Below are 26,484 nucleotides of genomic sequence, written 5' to 3' on the forward strand. Positions count from 1 at the left end.
TTTTTTTTTTTTTTTTTTTTTTGAGATGGAGTCTCGCTCTGTTGCCCAGGATGGAGTGGAGTGGCTCGATCTCGGCTCACTGCAACCTCCGCCTCCCAGGTTCAAGCAATTCTTTTGCCTCAGCCTCCTGAGTAGCTGTAACAACAGGCGTGTGCCACCACACCCAGCTAATTTTTCTATTTTTAGTAGAGAAGAGGTTTCACCATATTGGCCAGGCTGGTCTCAAACTCCGGACCTCATGATACGCCCGCCTTGGCCTCCCAAAGTGCTGGGATTACAGGTGTGAGCCACCAAGCCTGGCCAAGAATCAAGAATTCTTTAAGAAGAGACAGTCTTTGAATGGGAAGCTGGCCTCCAGCCACAAATGCTACTTACTACAAAAACCCACGAGGTTACTTATTTGAAAGCCTCAGACAATGCCTGTGGAAAGAGGAAGAAAAGCCACATTCACAAGGATAAATAGGGCAGAGTAGAAGCCCTATCCACTGGTTCTCAATGTTGAAGGCTCATTAGATTCATCCACGCTAAAAAAAAAAAACAAAAAACCAACCCACCAGCACTCCACCCACAAAGATTCTGATTAAACTGGTTTGGGTTTGTGCCTGAATACTGGGATTTTCTTTTCTTTTTAAATTTTTATAAAGGGGAAAGTGGCCTGGTATGGTGGCTCGCTCCTGTAATCCCAGCACTTTGGGAGGCCAAGGCAGTAGAATCACTTGAGCCCAGGCGTTCGAGACTAGCCTGGGTAACATAGTGAGACTCTATCTCTACAAAAAAATTTTAAAAATTAGCCAGGTGTGGTAGCACGTGCCTGTGGTCTCAGCTACTCGGGAGGCTGAGGTGGGATGATCATTTGAACCCAGGAGGTTAAGGCTGCAGTGACCCATGTTCATGCTGCTGCACTTCAGCCTAGGAAACAGTGAGACCTTGTCTTAAAAAAGCCAATACACCACTAGGGTCAGTAAGGTGAGTGGAATCCTGGGGTCCTCCAAACTTCCCTGGCCTTCTCCCCACTTTCCTCTTTATTTTTGTTTTGTTTTTTGCCATATATTGGCATTTTTAAAAAGAGCCCAGGCCGTGTGCAGTGGCTCACACCTGTAATCCCAGCACTTTGAGAGGCTGAGGCAGGCGGATCACCTGAGGTCAGGAGTTCAAGACCAGCCTGGCCAACATAGTGAAGCCCCACCTCTACTAAAGATAAAAAAAAAATTAGCCAGGCATGGTGGCACTCGCCTGTAATCCCAGCTACTCAGGAGGCTGAGGCAGGAGAATCGCTTGAACCCTGGAGGCAGAGGTTGCAGTGAGCTGAGATTGCGCCACTGCGCTCCAGCCTGGGCAAGAGAGAGACTCCGTCTCTAAATAAATAAATAAATAAATAAATAAATAAATATTTTTTAAAAGAGCCCAGGCGATTCTATAGTAACACACAAACAAGGCTGCAAATCCTGGACTGGCCGCTTCACATCCCTTTCTTAGCACAGGTGCCTTCTCTTCCTAGTTAGTGCTATTTGCATGAAGCATTTCCAGGTGACTTTCAACTTCCCTATATTCAAACGTCCTGCCATCCGCTCTTTTGCATAATAAAAGTACATATGCCACACTGAGTATTGTTCTGTGTAAAGCTGATGGTGCTGTTCACATCAGAAATTGCAGCACTGAAGAACAGAGTTCATGCAGACTTTTACAACATGCATCAGCTACAGTGAGTATTCTTGCATGCTTTTGGCCAATGCAAGCTCTCATGGCACGCTGTACTGTAAGCTCCGGGTCGGTGTGCACTTCTGTTTTGTTCCTGCATTTCAAGCCATGCGAATTGACATGTTTTCTTCCCCAAGGCATTTGTTTGTTGATGGTACCAGCTGTCAAAAACCAAGCAAGTGGCAGTGCTAGAGGTGCCACAAAAGTGCGAAGGAAGTGTCAGGCTGGATGTCAAAATGAACACCTTGGAGAACTGGATGATGGAACAGACGGTAAAAATCAGCTAAACATCAGAGAAAATGGAGGAAGAGGTCAAAACTGTGAACAGGAACTAGAAGAAAGTGTAGCAGAAAAAGACTTGTCACAAACTTCGAGAGATTTGGAGAAAATGATGTCAAAACACATCTTCCTCAAGCCCATGCTGAGTATCTCTGATTTGGTTAATTTCTTGGTAAGTGTTCCAAGTACAGACAACAAAGCAGAAAAGCACTGATTACAGGGAAGAATTAAAGAATGTACAGAATTTCTGGGACGGATAGGGAAACAGGTGGGTGGCTAATAGCCAGGAACAATGTAGTTAAGAGTGCTGAGTTTCCGCAGCAGGTGCTTGCCCACACCTGTGACATTAGGAACCGGGCAGTGGAGCCTCCCTCAGAGCTACCCCAATCAGATCTCCCAGCAAGCTCTACCCCATACGGCCCATGCCCACCTTCCCAGCTGCAGCTTCTGAGTTTCACACAGGTGCTCTGCTTGGCAGACCTGCAAGGAAGTCTGAAAAAGCAGTTTGTGGTTTTCCGTCTGTGCAGCTCAGGAAGGTACACCTGATGGGAGTTAGCTGGGCTTTGGCTAGCCAACCTGCAGGGTCTGGAACTGCTTCTGTTTGCAGGACGCATCCCCCTATTCCAGACAAGCTCTGGATTCCCCTAAGTGCCTATTACATGACAAAGGCAGGCTTTGTGAATGAGCGAATACATCAAACCCTCTCATAGTGCTGCTGCCTACCAGCCAGTGGGTCTGTTTCTGTGCTGCCACCAACTTTGTTGAGCAATATTTGTCTTACAGCTATTTTGAGTATTTTATTGCACTGCCTTTGTTCTTTTATTCCACCCCTCTTCCTCTCTCTCTAAGTGAAAGAAGTGAAGTAACGATATTTGTGATAAGAAGTGTAGTCTCATACATTTTATGAAACTGAAACAATTAAAATTACCAGTAGTATCCGAAGCAGCCTATCTATATCCTCAATGAGACCTCAGTGGGAAAAAAGATCTACTGCCTCTTCACCTGTAAATAACACGTGAAACTGCTAAGACCGTGTTATTGAAGAATGTGGCTAGTGGGCAGAGTGCCATTTGGAATTTTATAGTCGTCATTATCTTTCTGGGAGTGGAACCTCCCTTATAACGTGGAAGGCTATTTTCAACTTTTGCACTTTTTTACTTGGATGCCTTTTCCAGACTCTGTTAACGTTTGGAATTGGGTTTCACTCTACAGAGAAAGAGAAGCAGGAGGACAGGTGTAGAGGGGAGGAGAGGGAGGACCGTGGGTCGCAGATTGGGCCTATTCCCCTGCACTCACCACTTTGTCTGTCACTGCCAGCCCGCTCCCCCCTTTTCAGATACCAACACCAGGCCAGGGGTGACAGCCCAGGAAGGTGGCATCCACAGCCCTCAGCCCTCTGTCCTTGTCATTCACTCCTACCAGTCCTCAGCCCTCTTATCTGTCTGGGAGTGAGATGAAGGGCAGCTGGAAGCGGGAGGAAAGGTCCTCTCCTCTCCACTACAGTGACAAGAGGTTTGGAGGAGCTTCTGGGTGAGGCTTAGGGGGTGACCCTCCTGTGCAGAGCGGCATGGGCTACAAAAGAGTGGATGTTTGTCCTGTGTGTGGGTCCCTCCTGGGGGCTAAAATGAAATCTCCTTTCATTTTCTGATATCATGTGATCTCTGACTTACAAACCTACTTTCCTGTGCCATTTCTGTCTAAGACAACAGTCGCTTCTAACAGAGCCAGAGTCCTACATTACTGAGGAAACCACCACCATATCCCATGCATGAAAGGGCCGGCCTGTTGTGAATAACAAACTAGTGGCCTTAGAGCTACATTTAAAGACAGAAAGGTTGGGGGGATGGGGGGTGGGGGTGGGGGTGGGGGGAGTGGGGAGAGAGAGAGAGAGAGAGGCCGGGCACAGTGGCTCACGTCTGTAATCCCAACACTTTGGGAGGCTGAGGGGGGCAGATCGCTTGAGGTCAGGAGTTCAAAACCAGCCTGGCCAACATGGCAAACCCCGTCTCTACTAAAAATACCAAAAAAAAAAAAAAAAAAAAAAAAAATTACCCAGGCATGGTGGTGCACGCCTGTAATCCCAGCTACTTGGGAGGCTGAGGCACGAGAATCGCTTGAACCTAGGAGGAGGAGGTTGCAGTGAGGCTGAGATCGCACCACTGCACTCCAGCCTGAGCAACAGAGTGAGACTCTGTCTCAAACAAACAAACAAGCAAAAAAAAAAAAAAAAAAAAGAGAGAGAGAGAGAAATGGCTTGGAAGTTCTCCAAATAACAAAAGGTGTTTTAATGCGGTGGGAGTGGGGGCTATGGAGTAATTATTGGAGCTAGGGGGCCACCCTGTGGCTAAGTATCAAAAAATAAAGTTCAGAGTTTTTTTCCCCAAACCCATCTGCAATTAATCTTTTCACCCAGAGAGGCAGAAAGGAATACCAGGCCAAAATCTGTCAAATTTCTCCTCAGAATGGCCAGTTGGCCTAGAATCATTAAGCCAAAGTGTATGCCTGACCAGCATCACCTAGAAACCTGTTAGAAATGTAAATTTTTCTGGGGTAAGGCCCAGCCATCTGAGTTTTAACAAGCCCTGCAGATGATTCTGATACCAGGTAAAGTCTGAGAACCACGGGTTCACACCAGTTGGTAAAAGAGCATCTCTCTGGGCAGGGCTAGCATATAGCTGGTACTAACTGTAATTGATTATAATTATCATAAAATTCATTCATTCACTTAGCAACCATTGTATTCCATTCATACAAGAAATATTTATTTATTTATTTATTTATTTATTTATTTATTTATTTATTTATTTTTTGAGACAGAGTTTCACTCTCGTTGCCCAGGCTGGAGTGCAATGGTGCGATCTTGGCTCACTGCAACCTCTGCCTCTTGGATTCAAGCAATTCTCCTGCCTCAGCCTCCTGAGTAACTGGGATTACGGGCACCAGCCACCAGGCCCAGCTAATTTTTGTATTTTTAATAGAGACAGGGTTTCACCACGTTGGCCAGGCTGGTCTCGAACTCCTGACCTCAGGTGATCCACCTGCCTCAGCCTCCCAAAATGCTAGGATTACAGGCGTGAGCCACCACACCCGGCCAAGAAATATTTCTTGTGTGTTTAAAGAGCAGAAAGAAGGCTTATGTGACGGGTAGAGTGGCTGAGGGGAGCATGCAGGAATAAGTCCTGAGAGGTAGGAAGAGCCAGAGGGCATGATGAGGACTTGTGTATCACAAGAGCCACTGGAAGATACTGAGCAGGAAGAGATGTGATGAGACCGTCTACTTATAAACAGTTGCTCCAGCTACTGGATACAGAACAGACAGTGATGGAAGCACGAGATCAGCTAAGAGGCTAATAAAAAGAGAGTGGTGACTTGGATCGGGGTGTAGCAGTGGAAGTATTGAGATGGCTGGATTCTGGATAGATTTTGAAGGCAGAGCTAACAGGATTTACAGACAGATAGGATGTGAGATGAGGCCCAGAGGAACCTAGGATGACTCCAAGGTTTTATGCCTGAGCAAAACTCTATTTAGTGAGAAATAATTAACTGCCCACTAAGGATGCACTTAAGATGTATCTCACAGTTCAACTTCAGTAGTTTTTGTAACATAGTTAAAATGTGTCAGTAGGAAAGACCAATAAAATTATGGGTCAATTTTGCTTCCACCCAATTTACCTGTTTCTGTGTTTTAAATATGTCACCTTCGTTTATAAAAATGTGCTTGTATTTCAGCAAATAGCTTTGAATTTCATAAACAATCCTTTTTTTTCTTTTTTTTTTTTTGAGATGGAGTCTCGCTCTGTCACCCAGGCTGGAGTGCAGTGGCATAATCTCGGCTCACTGCAATCTCTGCCTCCCAGATTCAAGCAATTCTCCTGCCTCAGCCTCCCAAGTAGCTGGGTTTACAGGCATGCACCACCATGCCTGGCTATTTTTTGTATTTTTAGTAGAGACGGGGTTTGCCATTGTTGGCCAGGCTGCTCTCAAACTCCTGACCTCAGGTGATCCACTCACACCCCTCACCTCAGCCTCCCAAAGTGCTAGGATTACAGGCGTGAGCCACTGTGCCTGGCCTTGACAATACTTTTATATCCTGGTATACTACAGTGAAGGTAGGGGTTGTACTTAAGGTAATCAAGGGCTATTGTCTTTTAAATTGATATATAATAGTTGTACATGTATGGGGGGTAAGTAGCCTTCATTATAGAAGTAGAAATAGGTCTTCTTTATCAATTTGCTACTTTTATTCTTCCTGTGGTACAAATTAGCAGCAATTATGTGTGCCTGCAAAGACATATTTTCATGTATAATAGAGCCATACACCCCGCTTAATTCAGCAGCCAAGATCCCTGACAACCTCAACCATTTGGAACTCAGGTATGATTTCCCATACTATACTCAGGAGCTTAAGGGATGTGTCTAAAATTAAAGTTAATGAGTTAACAAGCTTAATTATTTTGTTTCCTCTGGCAAACTTCCAGTCTTCCTGGGTTTAATCCAATGGAAGAAATGGTTATTGAGTGCCTACTTGTACAGGGCACCCTGTTAGGCTGTGAGAGGGGTACAGGGAGAGCTGAGAACAGATCATAATTCCATGGGAAGGGAGGAAGCAGACATGCTGACCGCAGCAAGATGGAAGGAAACAGAATGATCGCCAGCTAGAAAAGAATAAAAGCCTCTGAGCTCTCGAATTAGCACTAATAACACCAGAAAATCAAATAGCCCCCAAGGCTGGAGTACAGCCACGACAGTGCCTGGGGTTTCATAACAATGACTGAGTCGGAAAATTAAAAGAACAGAAAAAGTTAAGATGTTACTAACTCAATTTCCTATGGCACAGAATGATGTCAGACATTTTAGAAAAAAGTCTAATCAAAACAAGTGGCATTTAATTTCAAGGGGTCATTTTAAATTGCCTGAATAATTACTTACATCCAGACTATCTTCTTTTTTTTTTCTTTTTGAGACAAAGTCTCGCTCTTGTCCCCCAGTCTGGAATGCAATGGCGCGATCTTGGCTCACTGCAACCTCTGCCTCCCGGGTTCAAGTGATTCTCCTGCCTCAGCCTCCCGAGTAGCTGGGATTATAGGCGCTCACCATCACACGCAGCTAATTTTTTGTATTTTTAGTGGAGACGAGGTTTCACCATGTTGGCCGGGCTGGTCTCAAACTCCTGACTTTAAGTGATCTGCCCGCCTCAGCCACCCAAAGTGCTGGGATTACCAGCATGAGCCACCGTGCCCAGCCCAGTGAATAATCTTTTAAGATAGAGGGAGAAAACTGATAAATTTTATATATTCATTATTCATATATATATATATCTATATCTCTAGTTAGCATAGAGGCAGAGAAATAATTTACACCAGTAAATGAGTAGACATCAGTATACCAGAATACTCACAGCCCTGTCTGGTTCATAAACAAGGGTTGCAGAGAAGTTTCCAACAGAGGGCTTATCAAGTAGGCAAAAAACTTAAATACACACGAAGTAACTTGAAAACCATTTTTTTTTTTTTGAGACAGTCTCTCTCTGTCACCCAGGCTGGAGTGCAGTGGTGCAATCTCTGCTCACTCTAACCTCCTGGGTTCAAGCGATTCTCCTGCTTCAGCCTCCCGAGTAGCTGGGATTACAGGCACATGCCATCACGCCTGGCTAATTTTTGTATTTTTAGTAGAGGTGGGGTTTCACCATGTTGGCCAGGCTGGTCTCGAACTCCTAACCTCGAATGATCCACCTGCCTCAGCCTCTCAAAATGCTGGGATTATAGGCAAGAGCCACAGTACCCAGCCTTGAAAACCATTTTTAAAAGCTGTCTAATACGTGGGGGGAGAAAACTGTATAGATTAACAATATAAATGATAACTTGGAATAAATGAGAAATCAAAGCAGGCATATCACGAAACTCATTTTGGGGTTGTAAATTCTTTGGGCACAAAACCATACTCCATCTTTGTCCATTTGTTGCTGTTCTTTCTTTTATGTGTATGGTGTTTTATAGCAGAATCTCTTTCTGCCTGCCATCTACTGCGGCTGGTCCCTACCCTGGGGTGGGTGGAACAGGTTCTAGAGAAAGGGAAATGACTGGGGGGCTGGGATGGCACCCCAGAAGGCATCTGCCCCAGGCCTTAAAATTCTCTGGATTCTAGTTATTCACATGCTTCTTTTCTCCATTCTTGTAGGCTGCTAGCAAGTTTAGGCAGGCCCTACCTAGCATACCCATCCCTGTGTGCTCCCCCAACCTCAGCCTAGCTAATGAACCAGGTAAGCGTCTGACTCAAAGGAAGCCAATTAAACTTCTGTTGGAATTTGCCTTTTAGACCCAGAGATGCTGGGTGGCCTCTGGCCGCTGACCTCCTGATTGCCATCCCTCCCCCATCACCACAACTCAATAATCAAACCAGCAACTGAGGAGTTACTCTACACTCTTCTTTACCTCCCAACCACCCCGTTCCAGCTGCTAATCATCATGCTGATTCTACCTGTAAAATACAGCTCGATTTGTTTGGTTTTCTCCATCTCCACAGCTGGCACCCTCTCTACGTCTCTGCCATCTGTCACCTAGACAACACAGCATCTTCCAAATGAGTGCCTCTATTTCCAGGGTGATCTTAAAACAGAAATCAGATTTTCACCCCTGCTGAATATCCTTCAGGGTCTCTTCTCTGCACCCAGCTGGAATCCAAACACTGGTCCAGGAAGCCCCGCCTGCCTCTCCTGCCTCACCCAGATGGCTCTACCCTTTGCCCACCTCACTTCAGCCACAGTGGCCTCACCTAAGTGCCTCCACATTTGGTATCTATTCATTCTCTAGCCAGTGCACCTCAGAATGCCTGGAATTCAGCTGGGCATGGTGGCCCATTCCTGTAATTCCAGCACTTTGTGAGGCCAAGGTGGGTGGATCACTTGAGGTCAGGAGTTCGAGACCAGCCTGACCAACATGGGGAACCCCCGTCTCTACCGAAAATACAAAAATTAGTTGGGCATAGTGGTGCGTGCCTGTAATCCCAGCCACTCTGGAGGCCGAGGTAGGAGAATTGCTTGAACCTGGAGGTGGAGGTTGCAGTGAGCCAAGATTGTGCCACTGCACTCCAGCCTGGGCGACACAGCAAGATTCTGTCTCAAACAAACAAACAAACAAATAAAAAGAATGCCTGGAATTCCTGTCCTTTCCCATCACTTGTTGTCTCTTTCTCATCTTTCCAGCCTCAGCTTAAATGTCACCTCCTCAGGGGAGCCTTCCCTGGTCACATGATCTTTAATAGGTCATCCATGTTTTTCTTCCCTCAGCACCTCATTTGTTTCCTTCCCAGTACTTAATGTAATAGATCATTATTCTTTGTGTATTTAAGTGTCTCCCCATGGTGGGTGCAGTGGCTCATGCCTGTAATCCCAGTACTTTGGGAGGCTGAGGCAGGAGGATTACTTGTGTCCAGGAGTTTGAGACCAGCCTGGGCAACATAGTGAGATCCTGTCTCTATAAAAAAAATTACAAATTAGCCAAGTGTGGTGGTGCAGACCTGTAGTCCCAGTTACTCGGGAGGCTAAGGCGGGAGGATCACTTGAGCCTGGGAGGTCGAGGCTAAAGTGAGCTGAGATGGTGCCACTGAACTCCAGCTTGGGTGTCAGAGTGAGACCCTAAAAAAGAAAAAGTTAAATTAAATAATTGTTTCCCCAACTACACTATAATCTCCATCTTGGGAACTACACCATCTTGTTGGCCATCATGTTGTATCCTCTTGGGGGAATAAGGACAAGCTTCAAAGAAAGAGATGGCATTTGGGAAGAAGGTGCTGAATTTTCTCCTTCTTCCAGTTAGCACTGCTGCATCTTGATTCTGTTCTGGGGGAACCACCCTTTGCCTATTTCAGTCATGGGGTTTGGCTTGAAATGACCCACCCTTGGCACCAAGAAAGTCTCTTATTAGTTTAGGCAGATTACAACTGAGGCCAAAAATAATCAAGATGTTTGCTGGGGCCAGGCACAGTGGCTCACGCCTGTAATCCCAGCACTTCGAGAGGCTGAGACGGGCAGATCACTTGAGGTCAGGAGTTCAAAACCAGCCTGGCCAACATGGTGAAATCCCATCTCTACTAATAATAGAAAAAATCAGCTGGGCGTGGTGGCGTGCACCTGTAATCCCAGCTACTCAGGAGACTGAGGCCGGAAAATGGCTTGAACCCGGAGGGGGAGGTTGCAGAGAGCTGAGATCACACCACTGCACTCCAGCCTGGATGACAGGGCGAGGCTCCGTCTCAAAAAAATAAAATAAAATAAAAAAGAATTTAAAAGTTGTTTGCCGGGCAAGAAGCATACTCTCTTTCCTGTTAAAATGGCCAAAAGAGAACCTCTTTCTCCCGCCTTTCTACCACTGAGCAGTGTAGTATGAAGATGTGTGATTCGGGATTGCTATATCAGTCAAGGTCCCAGCAGGAAGCAGATGGCACACTCAAACTGGACAATTTGAGGAGCAGTTAGTAAGTGGACTGTTGGCGGTGCACACCTGTAATCCCAGCTACTTAGGAGGCTGAGGCGGGAGGATCTCTTGAACCCAGGAGTTCGAGGCCACAGTGAACTATGATCTCCAGCCTGGGTGACAGAGTGAGACCCTATCTCTATTTAAAAAAAAAAAAAAACATGGACAGTTTGCAAAAGTGTGAGCATGTGTAGGGAAAACTTAAGGAATAATGAAATATCTTGGGGCCATTACCACCCTAGGCCTACAGAGGGTGGTTGCTGGAATGCAGAGATAGAGATATGGAGACTGTCACCTCATAGATGAGGGATGAAGGCAGCCTGTGCTGTGCACCATGGAAGACAGAGATTTAATTAATAGCCCAGCCATCCGTGGAGCCCATGCTGGTGCTCCTCACTGGCCAAACCCAAGTGGAAGACAGAAGGCAAGGAAGCCCGCAAATCTAAGCCAGGTCATCCTCCAAGGGCACTGAGCAGGGAGGAGAAGAATAGAGACGTTAAGAAGCAGAAGGAAGATACGGAGCACACCTACCTGCTAGGGGAGGACTGAAAGAGCCACTAGGGGTTCTGAACGCAAGCCGACACAGCAAAAGGCAGAAGACAAAAATGGAGTAAAACCAAGTCACCTGTGGTGCTGTCCAAGCTGCTGAACAGACGTCACCTGAAGCTAACTAGATACCTCGATATTTCTCAGTATAGGAGCCATTAGATTCCCTTTATTGTCCGGGTGTTACTTGAAACATAAAGAGCCCTCACAGATGTAACGAGTTCTTCGAGTATTACTGAGGTTTCAATAAGCAGAAATGGAGAAATCACTTTCCAGAAACAGGGAACAGAACAAGCAAAAGGCAAGGTGAAAATGAGGGGCATTTTTGGGGATCCGTGAGTAGGCAGTTGACTGGAGCCTATGGGCCAGGTAGAAAAGTATTAGGAGAAGATTCCAGAAAGGTAAGTGGGGTCTCATAGACTGGAAGTCCCAGAACTGAAAGTCAAGGAGTTGGGAGCTCATGCAACTGGCAATGGAGAACCACCAAAAGGTGAACTGTTATGCTTGTGATTATTTTCTTCATGGTTTCTTTGGGGTCCTGGGAGTGTGTGGTGGCTGTTATGTGTAACTGTGATTAACTTTACATCGTGAAAAGTCAGTCACCAAAAGGCAGAAGAGGCTAGATGGGACTCGCCTGCAGAACTGGACCGAGGGCTCTGCGGCTGCCACCGAATCTGCTCCAGGATCCTGCCCAGTCTCCTCCCACGCAGGGTAAACCATTTCCACTTACTACGGACTCCACCTTGTGGTCATGCTTGAGAACTGCACCACTGCCTCCGCAGTCCTTACCCACAAGGGCAACAGGATCACCACCCTCTCTTTCCTTGTCCCTATCATACCTTTAGGTCTCTTAAAAAAAAATGAAAGCAGCAGTGTACAGAAAGAAGTATAAAGGAAAAATTATTTCAAAGTTAAAATTAAAAAAATAAAAGCATACCAAGATAAAGTCCATTTCGTGAGATTTCATGCATCTTAAACAAATGGATCTCAAACCAAATATATTCTTTAACCCTCTGTACATCCTCTTCTATTAGTATTATCTGTTTTCATTAATTTCTTCAAAGTCCCAATGGGCCAGGCGGTTAAAGACATTTTCACACTTATGGCCGGGCACTGTGGGAGGCCAAGGGGGGAGGATCGCTTGAGGCCAGGAGTTCAAGACCAGCATGGCCAACATGGTGAAACCCCGTCTCTACTAAAAATTCAGAAATCATCTGGGCGTGGTAGTGCTTTCCTGTAGTGCCAGCTATTTGGGAGGCTGAGGCAGGGGAATTGCTTGAATCCGGGAGGTGGAGGCTGCAGTGAGCCGAGATCATGCTACTGCACTGCAGCCTGGGCGACAGAGCGAGACTCTGTCTCAAAAAAAAAAAAAAATTCACATTTAATCCTTACAGTTCTTTGGTAGGCATAAACGCTACTATCCTCATTTCACAAATAAGGAAATCTAGGCATATGCGCTCAGAGAGTTTTAACAACCTGCCCAAGGCCATGCAGCTAATTAGTTGGGACAGTTGGAATTTGAACTTGGTCAGTTAGATCCAAAACACAGGCATTTACCACCAAGCCACATTGCCTCTTAGTTGATAGGATTTTCATCTACTCGATTTTCAACTGGAAATTAGTAAGGGGATCTTGATTGTTGCCTCCCCTTCACTTCTTCACCCATATGCAGAGATGGGTTATTGATAGCACCTCCTGAATGATAGGGGATTTTATCCCTTTCTCTCTCCCCATGGCCATAATCTCAGTCTGGCCCTTCCTCGCATTTCATATGAAATATTGCAACTGCTTCCCATGAGGTTTCCAGTGTTTCCCCCATCCCACTCCACTGAAGAGAGGGTTCTAGTTTTAAAATCCAAACCTGAAAAGACTCAATCAGTTTAGGCCATACATGTGGCATTTAAGCCACATGTATCAAGATGCTTAAAAATGTCTATACCCTTTCAATCAGTAGTTCTACTTCTGTGAATCTATCTTTAAAAAAAAAATTCCTGTATATAAAAAAGTTATATGTACAAAGATGGTCAGGCAGTATTATTGATGTAGTATAGCTATTCCTTATAAAATTTTTAAATTTCCATTACGAGGCTGGGAATGGTAGCTCCCATCTGTAATCCCAGGCCTGTGGGAGGCCAAGGAGGGAGGACTGCTTGAGGCCAGAAGTCTAAGATCAACCTGGGCAACATAGTAAGACCCCATGTCTAAAAAAAAAAAAAAATTAAATTAAATTAAATTATAATAGCCAGGCATGGTGGCATACACCTGTAGTCCTAAGCTAAGGCAGAAGGATCGCTTGAGCCCAGGAGTTTGAAGCTGCAGTGAGCTATCATCATGCCACTGCACTCCAGCCTGGGACAGAGCAAGACCCCCTCTCTAAACAAAACAAATAATAAGGCCGGGAGTGGTGGCTCATGCCTGTAATCCCAGCACTTTGGGAGGCCGAGGCGGATGGATCACAAGGTCAGGAGTTTGAGACCAGCCTGGCCAACATGGTGAAACCCCGTCTCTACTAAAAACACAAAAATTAGCCAGGCGTGGTGGCGCGCACCTGTAATCCCAGCTACTCAGAAGGCTGATGCAGGAGAATTGCTTGAACCCAGGCGGCAGAGGCTGCAGTGAGCAGAGATCGCACCACTGCACTCCAGCCTGGGCAACAGACCGAGACTCTGCCTCAAAAAAAAGGAAAAAAGAAAAACAAATAATAATAATAATAAATTTAAACCAACTTAATTTCTACTCCAAACCCAACAGGATTTTCTACTTCAGGCCATCCTTCAAGGTCCTAGGAAGACCCTGCAGTTATAGATCATTACTGGTCACTGTCAAGGCCACCAGGGCCCAATTTATCTGGTTCCCTCAGTTCTAACAGCCCACTAGCTTTCACGCCACCCTTGGGACATATGGATATTTGGTGAGGCTGGGAGCCCTGTAACTGTTCCTCTCTGAGATCTGACCACTCCCCTGGGGTGTTGTCAGAGGGCAGAGCACAGGTCCCAGCTATTGCAGGACCCTGGACCCCTCCCCTGGCTTGGAGCAATCTTTTACCCTGGGGGAAATCCACCACTGCCTGCTAGGGTTTCCGTCAGAGCTGCTTCCTGTCTCCTCTCCCTCCAGTACACTGTACACTCAGACACATCAGGGGACTTAGGCTTTTGAAAACAAAGCCAGGAAAAGAAGTGTTTTGCAGGCAATTTCTGCCTTCAGCCTGCCAGCTCCTGAGGAAAGTAAAACGAAGCCTGCCTGAGGAGGAAAAGTGGGGAAATACAAGAGGAAATTCCACATTTGTAGCTCAAAAAGTTATCCTACCTCAAGATGCTTAACAATGAGACAATGTCATAAGATGTGAATGTTGGACATGAAGTCTGTGGGTTGCACATAGATGTTGATGCAGCCTGCACCATACAGTTGGAAAATCTAATTCACTTCACCTACTCATTCCAGATGCAAGTTTCCAAAGTTCTGGTGAAAACGGCTGAAGGAATAGTGTTACAGCAACTGCCCTTGGCTTTTCCAGCTTTACACTTCCATGCCTATGGAAATCTCTTCCCTGTCTGTAGCTTTAAGCATTACATCTATATGATCGACCATCCCATCTTCATCTCCATCCCTGACTTCCTAACTTGAGCTCCATGTCTCCAACAAGAGAAAAGGCAGGGCCGGGCGCGGTGCTCATGCCTGTAATCCCAGCACTTTGGGAGGCCGAGGCTGGCAGATCACGAGGTCAGGAGATTGAGACCATCCTGGCTAACACGGTGAAACCCAGCCTCTACTAAAAATACAAAAAATTAGCTGGGTGTAGTGGTGCTCACCTGTAGTCTCAGCTACTCGGGAGGCTGAGGCAGGAGAATCACTTAAACCCTGTAGGTGGAGATTGCAGTGAACCGAGAACATGCCACTGCTCTCCAGCCTCGGTGACAGAGCAAGACTCCGTCTCAAAAAATAAAAATTAAAAAAAGACAAAAGGCAGCACCATCTGGGAATCTTACTTTCACTTTCATGCCCCAAATCAACTCATTGTCTTTACCCCAAATCAGCTTCCTCTGCAGATGTCTCATTCCATCAGTGAGGCAGGAGGGTAAGGTCCCAGCCAAGTTCTTTCCTCTACACTGCTGTTAGAAATGCTTGTTCCCCAGTGCCACGAAGAAACAGCACTCAAACATAAATTTAATTTTCTCAGCAAGGCAATTTTTACTTCTATAGAAGAGTGTAACTCGCGAATGGAGTAATGGCAACAGCACACCTGGACAGGGAAGGGCAAGGAGTTCTTATTCCTGAGGCAGGTAGCCCCTACTGCTGTGTTGTTTCCCTATTGGCTAGGGTTGGACCGCACAGTCTAAGCTAATTCCAACTGGCTATTTTAAAGAGAGCAAAGGTATGAGCCAGAGTGGCAGGGTGAGTAGTGTGGCAGGAAGGACGGTTAGGAACAGGTAACTAAAGGTGACTTAGGTCACAGCAGGTGACCAGGATGAGTCAGGATGGAGCAGGTGACCAGGGGAACAGATGTGAACTACTGATTAGGACTCGCGAGAAAGTTGTTTACTGAAACTAGAAGCAAAGGGGTGAAGAGAACCAGGAAGTTAAACTTTAAAATGGAGAATCAAAGAATAAGAGAACTGAACATACTGACATACTGATTCTTTGAAGAGAAACTTGGGGTCTACTATATTTAACAATCCCCCTTCTTGAATTTTTATAGTTCTTTCTCTTCAAACTTCCTTAACATGTCTTGGCTTAGCTGTTCTGTTTGATTCTCTAAAAGAAAAAGCTTCTCTGAATAAGGTGGAGGAGAATTAAGGGAGGTTTTAGTAAGTGCTGCCTGTATGAGTTTGTACACCAGCCCACAGATGCATGGTATGACACAACACCCAACAAGAATGAGTACACCTACTACGGCTGCGAGAGAAGTAAGAATCGAGGCTATGATTCCTTTCCATTTACCAAACCATTTTTCTAGCCACCTTGTAAAGGGATCATTTACCCCTGGGTTTTTGGCTAACTCACTAGACAGAGCGGTTAGACCTTGCAATGCCTTTGTTATACGTCCATCAGGGGCGGTGGTGTTTGGGATGAAGGTACAACCTTGAGTTTTAATCATGACGCAAACTCCTCTTTCTGCTAATACCGTGTCTAAGGCTCTTCTATTTTCCCAAGCCATCTGGCTAGTAGCCCCTAATCGCTCACCTATTCCTTTAACAGCATCTCTAATGTAGTTAATAAACCGCTGTTGGTTGTAATAAATGTAATTTACCTAATCTATGTTCTTATTAATTGTCACCCATCAAAATATTGACTTAAATTCTGCAGCTATTTGATCTCGGGCTTTAAATTCATCTGGTACTCCTCGTGGAGGTCTAATAGCATTTATATAAACATGGGAGTCAAAGGACCCATGTGAGGCACTTCTTTTTTTTACGCTTTTCTCTTTTTTTTTTTCTTCGTGTTGACGGAATGCTAGGGTAAAAGGGATGGCCAGTTGGACTAGGGCACAAGTGCTGCTCTAATTACTTGGCAGAGCAGAGTACCCAGCAATAGTTCCTTGCAATACCACCACACATCTGCTTGGAGATGAACAAGGGCAGACTGATTGGTAAGCTCTTGAAAAGGCTTGGTTTCACTGCACCCTGTTAAGTCTTCAAGGAATGCTAACTCCCCCCCCACCCCCCGCAGAGAAAGGCACGAGGTGAAGTTAACATCAGGGGCTGGTGGCAGCATGGCCCTCGGGGGCTGACCCACAGGGCTCTTAACCTCAGTGAACCGCAGAGAAAGAGTCTTGCATGACTCATCGCCCCAGGCTGTGGGGTTGTGGAAGAGAGCTACCATACAGCTCATGCCCAGTCCATGAGAGGACCACCCAACTGGAAAGCGGACAAGCTGGGTCTCTGGCCTGCCTGTCGCATAAGAGTTAACAGTCGCTTTTGTTAAGCGTGCGAACAGAATATTTAATCCATTCCAGCCAAGCATTTGCGTCCTGATACTCTGTTTCAGTTGCTACAGTTTGTTTTAAATCTTTAACCTCTACAACTACTTTGGTTTCATCATTGGGTAGATAACAAGAGGTTTGGTTAGCAGAGAAGTTAGGAGAGGGAGAAGGGGGTGCAGGAGGTGACAAGGCAATGAAGTGCATTTCAAAGGATCCTGAGACTTCTGCTCCTATGCCATAGAAGAACTCTGGGGAGCAGGGATGGTCATCTGTCCTCAGTTACATTGGTCTAGCTGACAATGGGGAGGGGTAACTCCTTTAGTAAAATGAATATATGGTTTTAAGAAACTGCAAGTACTAGTTGGGGCAGCCGATCCTTGCTCTTTAATATTTTATAGAGCATTGGACCAACTTTGGCAGAGAAGCTCTGCTCTAGGAGGACAAGATTTCCAGTTTATACTGGAATCTTCGTCAAACTCTTCTCAAACTAATTTATCCCAGTTAACAGATTTTTAGTCTGCAGAGCGCTAGGAAGGATAAAGATACTTTCCTGAAGTGGAGAGTTGCCTCTGACTTGGCAAGTCTCCATAGGGTATAACAAGGCAAGCATCAAATGTAATAGTTTGAGGCAAAATTGACTTGGTTACATTAATAACTAGGTGGTCAGCAATAGAGCGAGGAAAGAAGTCATAATCAAATGGATGAAAGAGAGTTAAATTTTTCTTAGCTTTAGTTTGGTAGGGTTTTCCCCTGGGACCGTGGCCCATGACTCTGGAGGGGGTGGCACTTTCCTGACTCGGGTGTGATGGGTCAATCCTTTTTCTGCTGTCCAGACTGCAGTTTCAGTAGTTAGGATCACTAGGTAAGGTCCTTCCCAGGCCGGTTCGAGCTTTTACTTCTCTCCAACTCGAGAGCTACTTCTTTGCAGCACCAGGGAACAAGCGTTTCTAACACTGCCCCCTTATAAAAGCCTCAAAATGCCTGTACAAGTCCATGACTTAGGGGTCTTAGGGGCTCCTTTGTGGAAGTTTCTCTGTTTGTTACCACCCCGCAGGCAAATAAACAGATTGGACGGAGCTTGGCCCCAAGGGCATCCAAGCTATTGGCCAATCCAGACCTTCTGACGTAGCCTAGAGTGAAAATCCAGACCAACAAGAACACCCTCTATTAAACAGTGACCAGCCAAACCATCAGATCATCTCTCTTGGGGCTTTAAAGAGACACAGACAGAGGGGGTTGTTATTGGCAGGAGGGTAAAAACGGAGACAGGAAGAGTCAGTAGTTGAGCTACCCTAATGAGTCTCCAGGCAAGTAAACTAGGTCATCAGGAACTCTGCTGATCTGATTCTCTCCTAAGCAGGGGAGCTTTCTGGGCAGTTGGGAGTAGAGGAGTAGAACAAAGTATAGCAGATGTTTCTCTTCTTTTCACTTTCTCCCCCCTCTTTTCCTTTTTCTTTTCTTACCAACCGCCCCCCCCCACCTTTTTTTTTCTTTTCTTTTTTTTTTTTCATCTACTCAGTGTCTGAATACCTCCCTATTTGAGAGACAGGGCCACAATTCCCACTGTGGAAGCTGAGAGGGTCAGGTACTTTCTGGCCTCACACCTTGGAAGCTGGAGCTTGGGCACATGATCCTGCTAGTGAACCAGAGACTCAGAATCAATTGAGAAATAACTTACTGCTGCAGCATCAAATGTTAGCATGACAGCACGTAGTATGCAGTGGCCATGGTGCCAACAGCAGTGTGTTCACCTGTCAGCACATAAAACTGCAAATCTACAGAAAAGTTGAAAGATTACAATGGATATAACCTTTACCTAGTGAATTAGTTATCTATTGCTGCAAAACAAATTACTCTAAAACATAGCTTCATGGGAAAAAACATTTATCATGCCAGTTGCCATGGGTCAGGAGTGCAGGCACTGCTTACCTGACTCTTCTGGCTTGGGGTCTGTCACAAGCTACAAATCAAAGTGTCAAGTGGGCTGCAGTCTCACATGAAGGCTTCACTGGGGAAGGATCTGCTTCCAAGCTCATTCATATGGTTGTCAGCAGGATTCAGTTCCTCATAGGCTATTGGACTGAGGGTCTCAGTTCTTCACTGGCTGTTTTCTGGAGGCCTCCCTCAGTTCCTCACATGTGAGCCTCTTCCCCATGGGGCAGCTCACAACATGGCAGCCCATCTCCATCTGAGCAATTGAAGGAGAGAGAATTCAATTATGGAAGGAACCTCCCACATGCTGTTTGCTAGAAGCCAGTCTCTAAACCCAGCCCTTACTCAAGGGAAAAGGATTACACAAGGTGTGAATTCCAGGAGGGAAGGTCAGAATTCACTGAGTGCCAACTTAGAGTCTGCCAACTACAGATTCATCAATTACTAACATTTTATCACATTTGCACGTGCTCCCCCTTAGATAGATAGCTACAAATACAGATATACAGTTTTGTTTGTTAAACAACCAAAATTAAGTTAAAGATTGATATGGTTTGGCTGTGTCCCCACCGAAATCTCATCTTGAATTCCCACAAGTTGTGGGAAGAACCTGTGGGAGGTAATTGAATCATGGGGGCAGGTTTTTCCCATGCTGTTCTTGTGGTAGTGAATACGTCTCACAAGATCTGACGGTTTTAAAGAGGGGAGTTTCCCTGCACAAGTTCTCTCCTCTTGTCTGCTGCCATGTGAGACGTGCCTTTCACCTTCCACCATGATTGTGAGGCCTCCCCAGCCACGTGGAACTGTAAGTCCATTAAACTTCTTTCTTTTGTAAATTACCCAGTCTCAGGTATGTCTTTATCAGCAGTGTGAAAACAGACTAATACAAAGATATTATAACATTTCACCTCTAATTACTGCAGCATGTATCTCCTAAGAATAAAAATATTTTTCCACATAACCACAATGCCATCACCGCCCCTCAAATTTAACAATTGTGCTATAATATCATCTAATATCAGCCCAAATTCAACTCTCTCCAGTTATCCCCCAAATACCTTTTATAGCTCTTTTTTTTCCTGCTCCACTATCCACTCAAGTTTCCTGTATTGTTTTTGGTTATTATCTATTTAGTCTCTTTTAATCTAGAACCATTCCTTCCAATACCATTTATTACTGGGTATTTTTTTCCATACTGTTGACATTTTTGAAGAGTTCAGGCCAATTGTTTTGTACAACTGTTGCCCACACAACAGGTGGGCTAGGTCACTTGGTAAGTAACAACCAATGGCCACAACCAAGGAGGATTTAACAAGAGGATTTTATTACTTACAACTAGTAAAAAGAACACTGGGTATAGATAGCTCCCAAAGCAATGCCTCCCTGAGCTCCAGGCTGTGTCAGGTTTTATAAGCATAGGGTAATGAGGCATGATCTGACTGGATCTTGCAATGAGGTAATGCCAAGAGGCATGATCTCACTGGATCCTGCTAATGAGTGATGCCAGAGCTCAATCTGATTGCATCGTAGATCCAGCCATGCAGTGTCAACTTCCTAATTCAGTCCCTGCTCCTCTGAGCACTTAGGTTCCCCCCTGTGGCTACACACTTGGTTCACCTGGGCCTGCTCAGGTTACATGACCTGAAGCTCCATTAGCAACTGAAAAACAACTCATAACTTTTGTTACATAAAAGTTGAACCAAACTGGTCTGGTGCAGCTACATAATATCCCATATTCTGGAGATGATTACTTCCTAATGGTGTTCATCTTATACCAGTATCTACTGTATTTCCTGTAAGCAGGAAGTTAGGTTAAATATTTTTGGAAAGAATTCTACTTAGGAGGCACATGTCTGGTAGTCCCATTATTGGTGATGTTTGATCACTTGGTTATGGTGGTAATTGTTTGATCTTTCCATTATAAATGCATAATTTCCCTTTTGTAATTAGTAAATAATCAGTGGGGCAATACTTGGGAGTCTGTGTGAATACCTTGTTCCCAGAAACTTTTTTCCCAATAGTTTTAGCATTCATTAGTAATCCTTATCTTGGTTAATTGGTTAATTATTACATTTGAGTTTCCAAAAGGGTAATTGTCTAATCTAACATTCCTCTTACAGTTATCACTCTGTAAAGATGAGCTTTTCTTTTTCTCTCTTTGTTTTCTTATGTTTTGTTTGAGATTGACTATGGACCATGATTTTCAAAAAATTATTATATTATAATCAATTATAATTATAGATTACAAATATTTATTTTACATTAACATTTAATACATTTATTATATATTTATATATTATGTTAAACATATTTATTATATAGTACTATATATTAATATACTTGTTAATATATTTAATATATAAACATATTTTAAATATAATCATATATTAAGCATATATACTTAACTATATACCTAATTATGTTGAAGTTAATTATACATTTAAGTATATAATTATCTCAAATATACTTAAATACAATTATACTTAAAATGTAATTAAATCGTAATTAACATTATTTTTTATTTGCAGATTGTCCCAAATTTGGCCAATGAAAAAGTCCTTCAAGGCCAGGTGTGGTAGCTCATGCCTATAATCCCAGCATTTTGGGAGGCTGAGGCAGATGGATCACCAGAGGTCAAGAGTTTGAGACCAGCCTGGCCAACATGGTGAAACCCTGTCTCTACTGGAAAAAAAAAAAAAAAATTAGCCGGGTGTGGTGGCAAGTACCTATAACTCAGCAGGCTGAGGCAGGAGAATCACTTGAACCTGGGAGGCAGAGGTTGCAGTCAGCTGAGATCATGCCACTGCACTCCAGCCTGGGAGAAAGAGCAAGACTCTGTTTCAAAAAAAAAAAAAGAAAAAAAAAAAAAAGTCCTTCAAGTTGACTTCTATATCTTTTTTTTAAAAAAAACAGCTTTATTGAGATCTAATTTCCCTACCATACAGTTCACCCATTTACAGTACACAGTTCTATGGTTTTAGTTTATTCAGAGTTGTGCAAGCATCATCACAGTCAATTTTAGAACAATCAAATTTAGTTCATTACCCCTAAAAGAAACTGTTACCCATTAGTGGTCACTTCCTATTCCCCTCAACTCTTGCAGCCCTAGGTAACTGCTAATCCACCGTCTCCATAGATTTGCCTATTCTGGATGTGTCATACGAATGGAATCATCTATGTGGTCTTCTGTGACTGGCTTCTTTCACTTGGCATGTTTTCATGGTTCACCCACATTGTATAAAAATGTCCGTCTACATTCTGTAGCATTGATTTTACTGCCATTTTAACATTCCATATTATGGATATACTGTATTTTACTTACCCATTCATCAGTTGATGGGTATTTGGGTTGTTTCCACTTTTTGGCTCTTGTGAATAATGCTGCAATAACCAATCATGTACAAGTTTTTGTATGAACATACGTTTTAATTTACCTTGCATACATATATAGGAGTGGAACTGCTGGGTCATATGGTAACTTTATGCTTAATCTTTTGAGAAACTTCCAGACTGCTTTCCAAAGGGGCTGTATTATTTGACATACTTTTTCTTTTTCCTTTCTTTTGAGACAAGGTCTCACCCTGTTGCTCAAGCTGGAGTGCAGTGGCACGATCACAGCTCACTGCAACCTTGACCTGCTGGGCCCTAGCGATCCTACCATGTTAGCCTCCCAAAGAGTTGGAATTACAGGTGTGAGCCACTGTGCCCAGCCTCCATTTGACATTCTTACCAGCCATGTATGAGAGTTCCAGTTTCTCCACATCTTCATCAACACGTTACCTTTTTTATTATAGCCATCCTAGTGGCTATAATTGTGGTTTTGATTTGCATTTCACTGAGGCTAATGATACTGACTCAGTGTTTCTCAAGGTACCTTTGGTCCCAAAAATTCATGTTTTATTTTATATCCAGAAAACTATCTTCAGTTATAGCTTTCTTTCATTGTTATGTTTCTTTTCTTTGGAGACTTCAATGATGCATATGTTAACTTCTGTCTATCTTCTATATCTCTCACTTTTTTTCTAATATTTTTCCTTCTTTTCCAAATTTGTTTTGGGTTCTCTTGGCTGTTTTAAATTTATTTTCAATGTTCCTTCTTGACTTTTAAGGCTAACCTATTTTCCCGTGGACACAATGTAATTTAGTTTCCATATCTCAAGATTATTTTGGCTTTTTCTTCTACTTCTTTCCTGAATTTCATCAGTTCTCATTTTATAGTTTTCTGCTTTGTGTCCATTTCTATTTTGAGTTTTTTAATGTCTGATTTTTGGTATTCTTTATAGCTACAGCTGCTTACTAAATGATATTTAATTCATATGAAGAATACTGTTAGTTTTCCTCTGCTTTTTGGCTGTTGGATGGAATTGTGGTTGGTGGAAAGAATTTTCATTAGTTAAAATGGTTTTTAATTTTTTTCTTGTAGTTACTTTATATGGATGTTGGTTGCTGTTCTGTTTAGTTCAAAATACCTCGGATCTGACCAGGTGTGGTGGCTCACACCTGTAATCCCAGCAATTTGGGAGACCAAGGCAGGTGGATCAACTGAGGTCAGGAGTTCAAGAACAGCCTTACCAACATGATGAAACCATCTCTTCTAAAAATACAAAAATTACCCAGGCGTGGTGGTGGGTGACTCTAATCCCAGGTACTTGGGAGGCTGAAGCAGGAGAATCCCTTGAACCTGGGAGGTGGAGGTTGCAGTGGGCCAAGATCGTGCTACTGCACTCCAGCCCCAGCTGGGTGACAGAGTGAGACACTGTCTCAAAAACAAAACAAAAACAAAAACAAAACAACCTGTCAATATCACTGGGGAAAGAGTTTGTCAAACTCCAAGGCAATTTTCAGTGAGAATGACACTAAGTTTCAGACTTCAGGGCAATAGGAATGATGTCAGACTTCAATTACATTCCCCATGAAGAACCAGACAGCTAGAGTGTCGCTATGTACTTTTAAAAGATGACTGAGGATGGAGACAAGTGAGTTGGCAGACAGTGGCAACCTCTGGAAGACAGAATCTTCTCTGCTGGTTCCCAGGCTGCTGCTCCGAAAGTCCCAAAACACGCACCTGGCCTCTCCTGCATTCCCACTGGCTGCACCTTGCTCCTGCCCAGAATGAAATCTGGCTCCTGGCCACCAAGCAAGAAGCCACCAGCTGACCAAAATTTTTAATTAAAAAAAAAAAATTAGTTCAAGTGCCCACTGGGAGACAAAACTCTGAACCAATGACCAATAGTTTCTTCCACAGCAGAATATCATTGCTGGTAACAATGGGTGTGGTATTTCTCAAATCATACCTAATGATTCTTCTCAAAATTTATACTTTGCTTTTCCTCAAACCAGCTGGTTTAGATATTTTAGTACAATGCTTTCACCAGAACCTACAACAATGGTTCCTATTAACTGAGAACTGAAATTGATGTGGTCTCCTCATGCCACAGGTCACATGTTGTTTGGTGACTGATTTTGACTCTCAGGAGGAAGTGGGGTTGCTGTTACACCACGGAGGCAAGAGGAGCAGTAATAGAACACAGGAGATCTCCTGAGGCACCTCATCACTCTCATGCCAGGGCACAAGTTGATGGCAATGTACTGTACCACCTACAGACAAACTACAGACAACCTACCTACAGGCAACCTCCTCAAGAACAAAAGCTTGCTTAACCCAACCAGGCAAAGAATCCTGGCCAGCTGAGGGGTTGCGTGAAGGAAAGAGGGACCTGGAATGGTTAGCGGAGAAGGAAAATTGTAAATGACAATAAAGCTTCATTACCAGTTACAAAAATGAAGATCGTAACCTCTAACAGTATTTCCCTTCTTGCTGTATTATATATAAATGGAGTTTTTAGCTATTGTCCTTTTCTTTCATTTCCTTTCTTTTCACAATTGTATCTAAAGTCTATCAGTGATGCTTAACTTTACAATTTAGTCTACACATTACAACGATGGGATGGGATGATGATGAAACTGAAAGGAAGAATGGAACATCACCTACAGAAGTTAGACTTGGGCCAAATACAGTAAATGAGGAGATTTTGAGATGCCCTGCTTTGGGGAAGGGATAAGTAAATTTTGTTATAGGAGAGATGCTCGCATTTTGTTGGATGGCAGCATTTTCATTTACCTTTGAAAGCACTTCTGTGAATGTTGGGCAGCCTAAGAGACGGACTATAGTGAAGCAACTTTTGGCAACCCAGCGTCTCATTCTTCTTATTTGAGGGGAGGCCCCCACACACTGAGTCTTGGTATGAGGCTAGGCCTCCCAGACTAGAAGCCACAGTAGAAACCAGAACTCTCTTTGCCTATTGGCAATCAGAACACAGGCACATAACCTAGACTAGGCCAAGTAAATGGTCCTTCCCAAAACTTGAATCTTAAGTGAGAAGAGTTGAAAAATAATTCATGTCACCACCAAAGGAGCTGGTACGCACCCTAATCAGAGTACCAAAGCAGGATGGCTTAGCTGGTTCCTAACATTTCCAGGCCTGGTTCTCCAGCATTGCTGCTGCAAGGAGTATAACTACAGACAGCTCTAGGCCTACTTTTCCCGCGCTCAGAAACACCAAAAGAAAGAGCCTCTTTCTCCCAGCCTCATTCTCTAAAATCCCCGACAAGGGCTCAGATCATCTCAGGTTTGGTCATGTGCGCATCCCTGGGGAAATCTGAAAACAAGAGGAGGGAGACTACAGCTGGTCAGGCCTGGGTTCCACACCTCCCCTTCTCCACACCCATCCTGCCTTGGGAGACCGGAGAAGTGCGGTGCTAAAGAACCATCTGACCCAGCGGACTGCAGACAATTCCCAAAGGAAAGTTTTCCCGTCAGGCAAAAACAAAAGCTGCTCACAACACAAAATTACAGAACATCAGAACCAAAAGGAACCTTGGGACTCCTTCATCCTATCCCCTCTCTTTATAGATGAGGAAACCATACAGGATATGTACGCCTGTTTGGACTTTGTACAGTTCTCTGTCCAGCAGGGGTGACTTGGCTGTGGGATTAGGTGACTCCACTGGAGGTCTTCTGTGTATAGAAAAGATCAAGGGTCACAAACACAAATGCCTTCAGGTAGGCAGCAAATGTGTGAAGGCTGGCTGTTACTTAATGGACCAGTGGTGGTGGTGGGATTCAAATTCTTATTAAAAAACAAAAGCAAACAAACAAAGAAAAGCTATGCGATGCCCAAATAAAACCATCTGTGGGCTAGCTGCTGCTGTTGTCCAAAGTTTGTGGCCCCTGGGTTAGACAAAACCTCTGAGCTGTCCTGACAGGTCTGGGAAAACCAAACAAGTCCTTGTCTCCTAAACTACCTGGGACTCAAGAGCTCTGTAGGAAAAAATTTGTACCCTGCACCCAGCTGGGGTTGACATTTACAGACGCCTGTTTTATGAACTGGGGAGATATTCAGTTGAAGCCAGATTGCTGAAAGTGCTGCTGAGAGAAAATCATCAGAAGGGAGGGCCTCTTCCCCACGCCACCCTGGTGGTAGTTCCTCTATGCCTCCGGATTCTGCTAAGCAGTAAAAGCTAAAGGGCAGTGTCATTAAGCTCCTAGGGGATGGGATGCAGTGGCTCACACCTGTAATTCCAGCACTTTGGGAGGCCGAGGCGGGAGGATCGTCTGAGTCCAGGAGTTCAAGCCCA

At 44.3% G+C, this 26,484-nt stretch overlaps 1 long non-coding RNA gene across 4 annotated transcripts, besides 3 other annotated features; it reads left to right on the forward strand.

The window, feature by feature from the left end:
- The first annotated feature begins 1,616 nt into the window (after positions 1-1,616).
- Positions 1,617-24,632, forward strand: LINC02576 (long intergenic non-protein coding RNA 2576). Of its 4 annotated transcripts, none has more exons than NR_183397.1 (3): positions 1,617-1,702; positions 1,836-2,149; positions 21,375-24,632. It is a non-coding gene; the product is annotated as a long intergenic non-protein coding RNA 2576 (long non-coding RNA). The 4 variants fall into 4 exon arrangements; NR_183398.1 differs by having other exon boundaries at positions 23,270-24,632; NR_183399.1 differs by lacking the exon at positions 21,375-24,632 and adding an exon at positions 8,293-9,151.
- Positions 1,967-2,830: an enhancer, noted in NCBI's record as "OCT4-NANOG-H3K4me1 hESC enhancer chr2:65258211-65259074 (GRCh37/hg19 assembly coordinates)". NCBI's record gives its function as "activates a minimal SCP1, AML or CMV promoter by ChIP-STARR-seq in naive H9 embryonic stem cells {active_cell/tissue: H9 hESC(naive)}" and the evidence as "EXISTENCE:reporter gene assay evidence [ECO:0000049][PMID:30033119]".
- Positions 11,502-11,591: an enhancer, noted in NCBI's record as "active region_15924". NCBI's record gives its function as "activates an Ori minimal core promoter by ATAC-STARR-seq in GM12878 lymphoblastoid cells {active_cell/tissue: GM12878}" and the evidence as "EXISTENCE:reporter gene assay evidence [ECO:0000049][PMID:35858748]".
- Positions 21,359-21,531: a silencer, noted in NCBI's record as "fragment chr2:65277603-65277775 (GRCh37/hg19 assembly coordinates)". NCBI's record gives its function as "represses an EF-1alpha promoter that drives an FKBP-Casp9 reporter gene in an ReSE screen in both phorbol 12-myristate 13-acetate-treated (for megakaryocytic differentiation) and untreated K562 erythroleukemia cells {active_cell/tissue: K562 | K562(+PMA)}" and the evidence as "EXISTENCE:reporter gene assay evidence [ECO:0000049][PMID:32094911]".
- Positions 24,633-26,484: the final 1,852 nt, after the last annotated feature.

The sequence above is a fragment of the Homo sapiens genome, chromosome 2, assembly GCF_000001405.40.
Source record: "Homo sapiens chromosome 2, GRCh38.p14 Primary Assembly".
Classification (NCBI taxonomy): domain Eukaryota; kingdom Metazoa; phylum Chordata; class Mammalia; order Primates; family Hominidae; genus Homo; species Homo sapiens.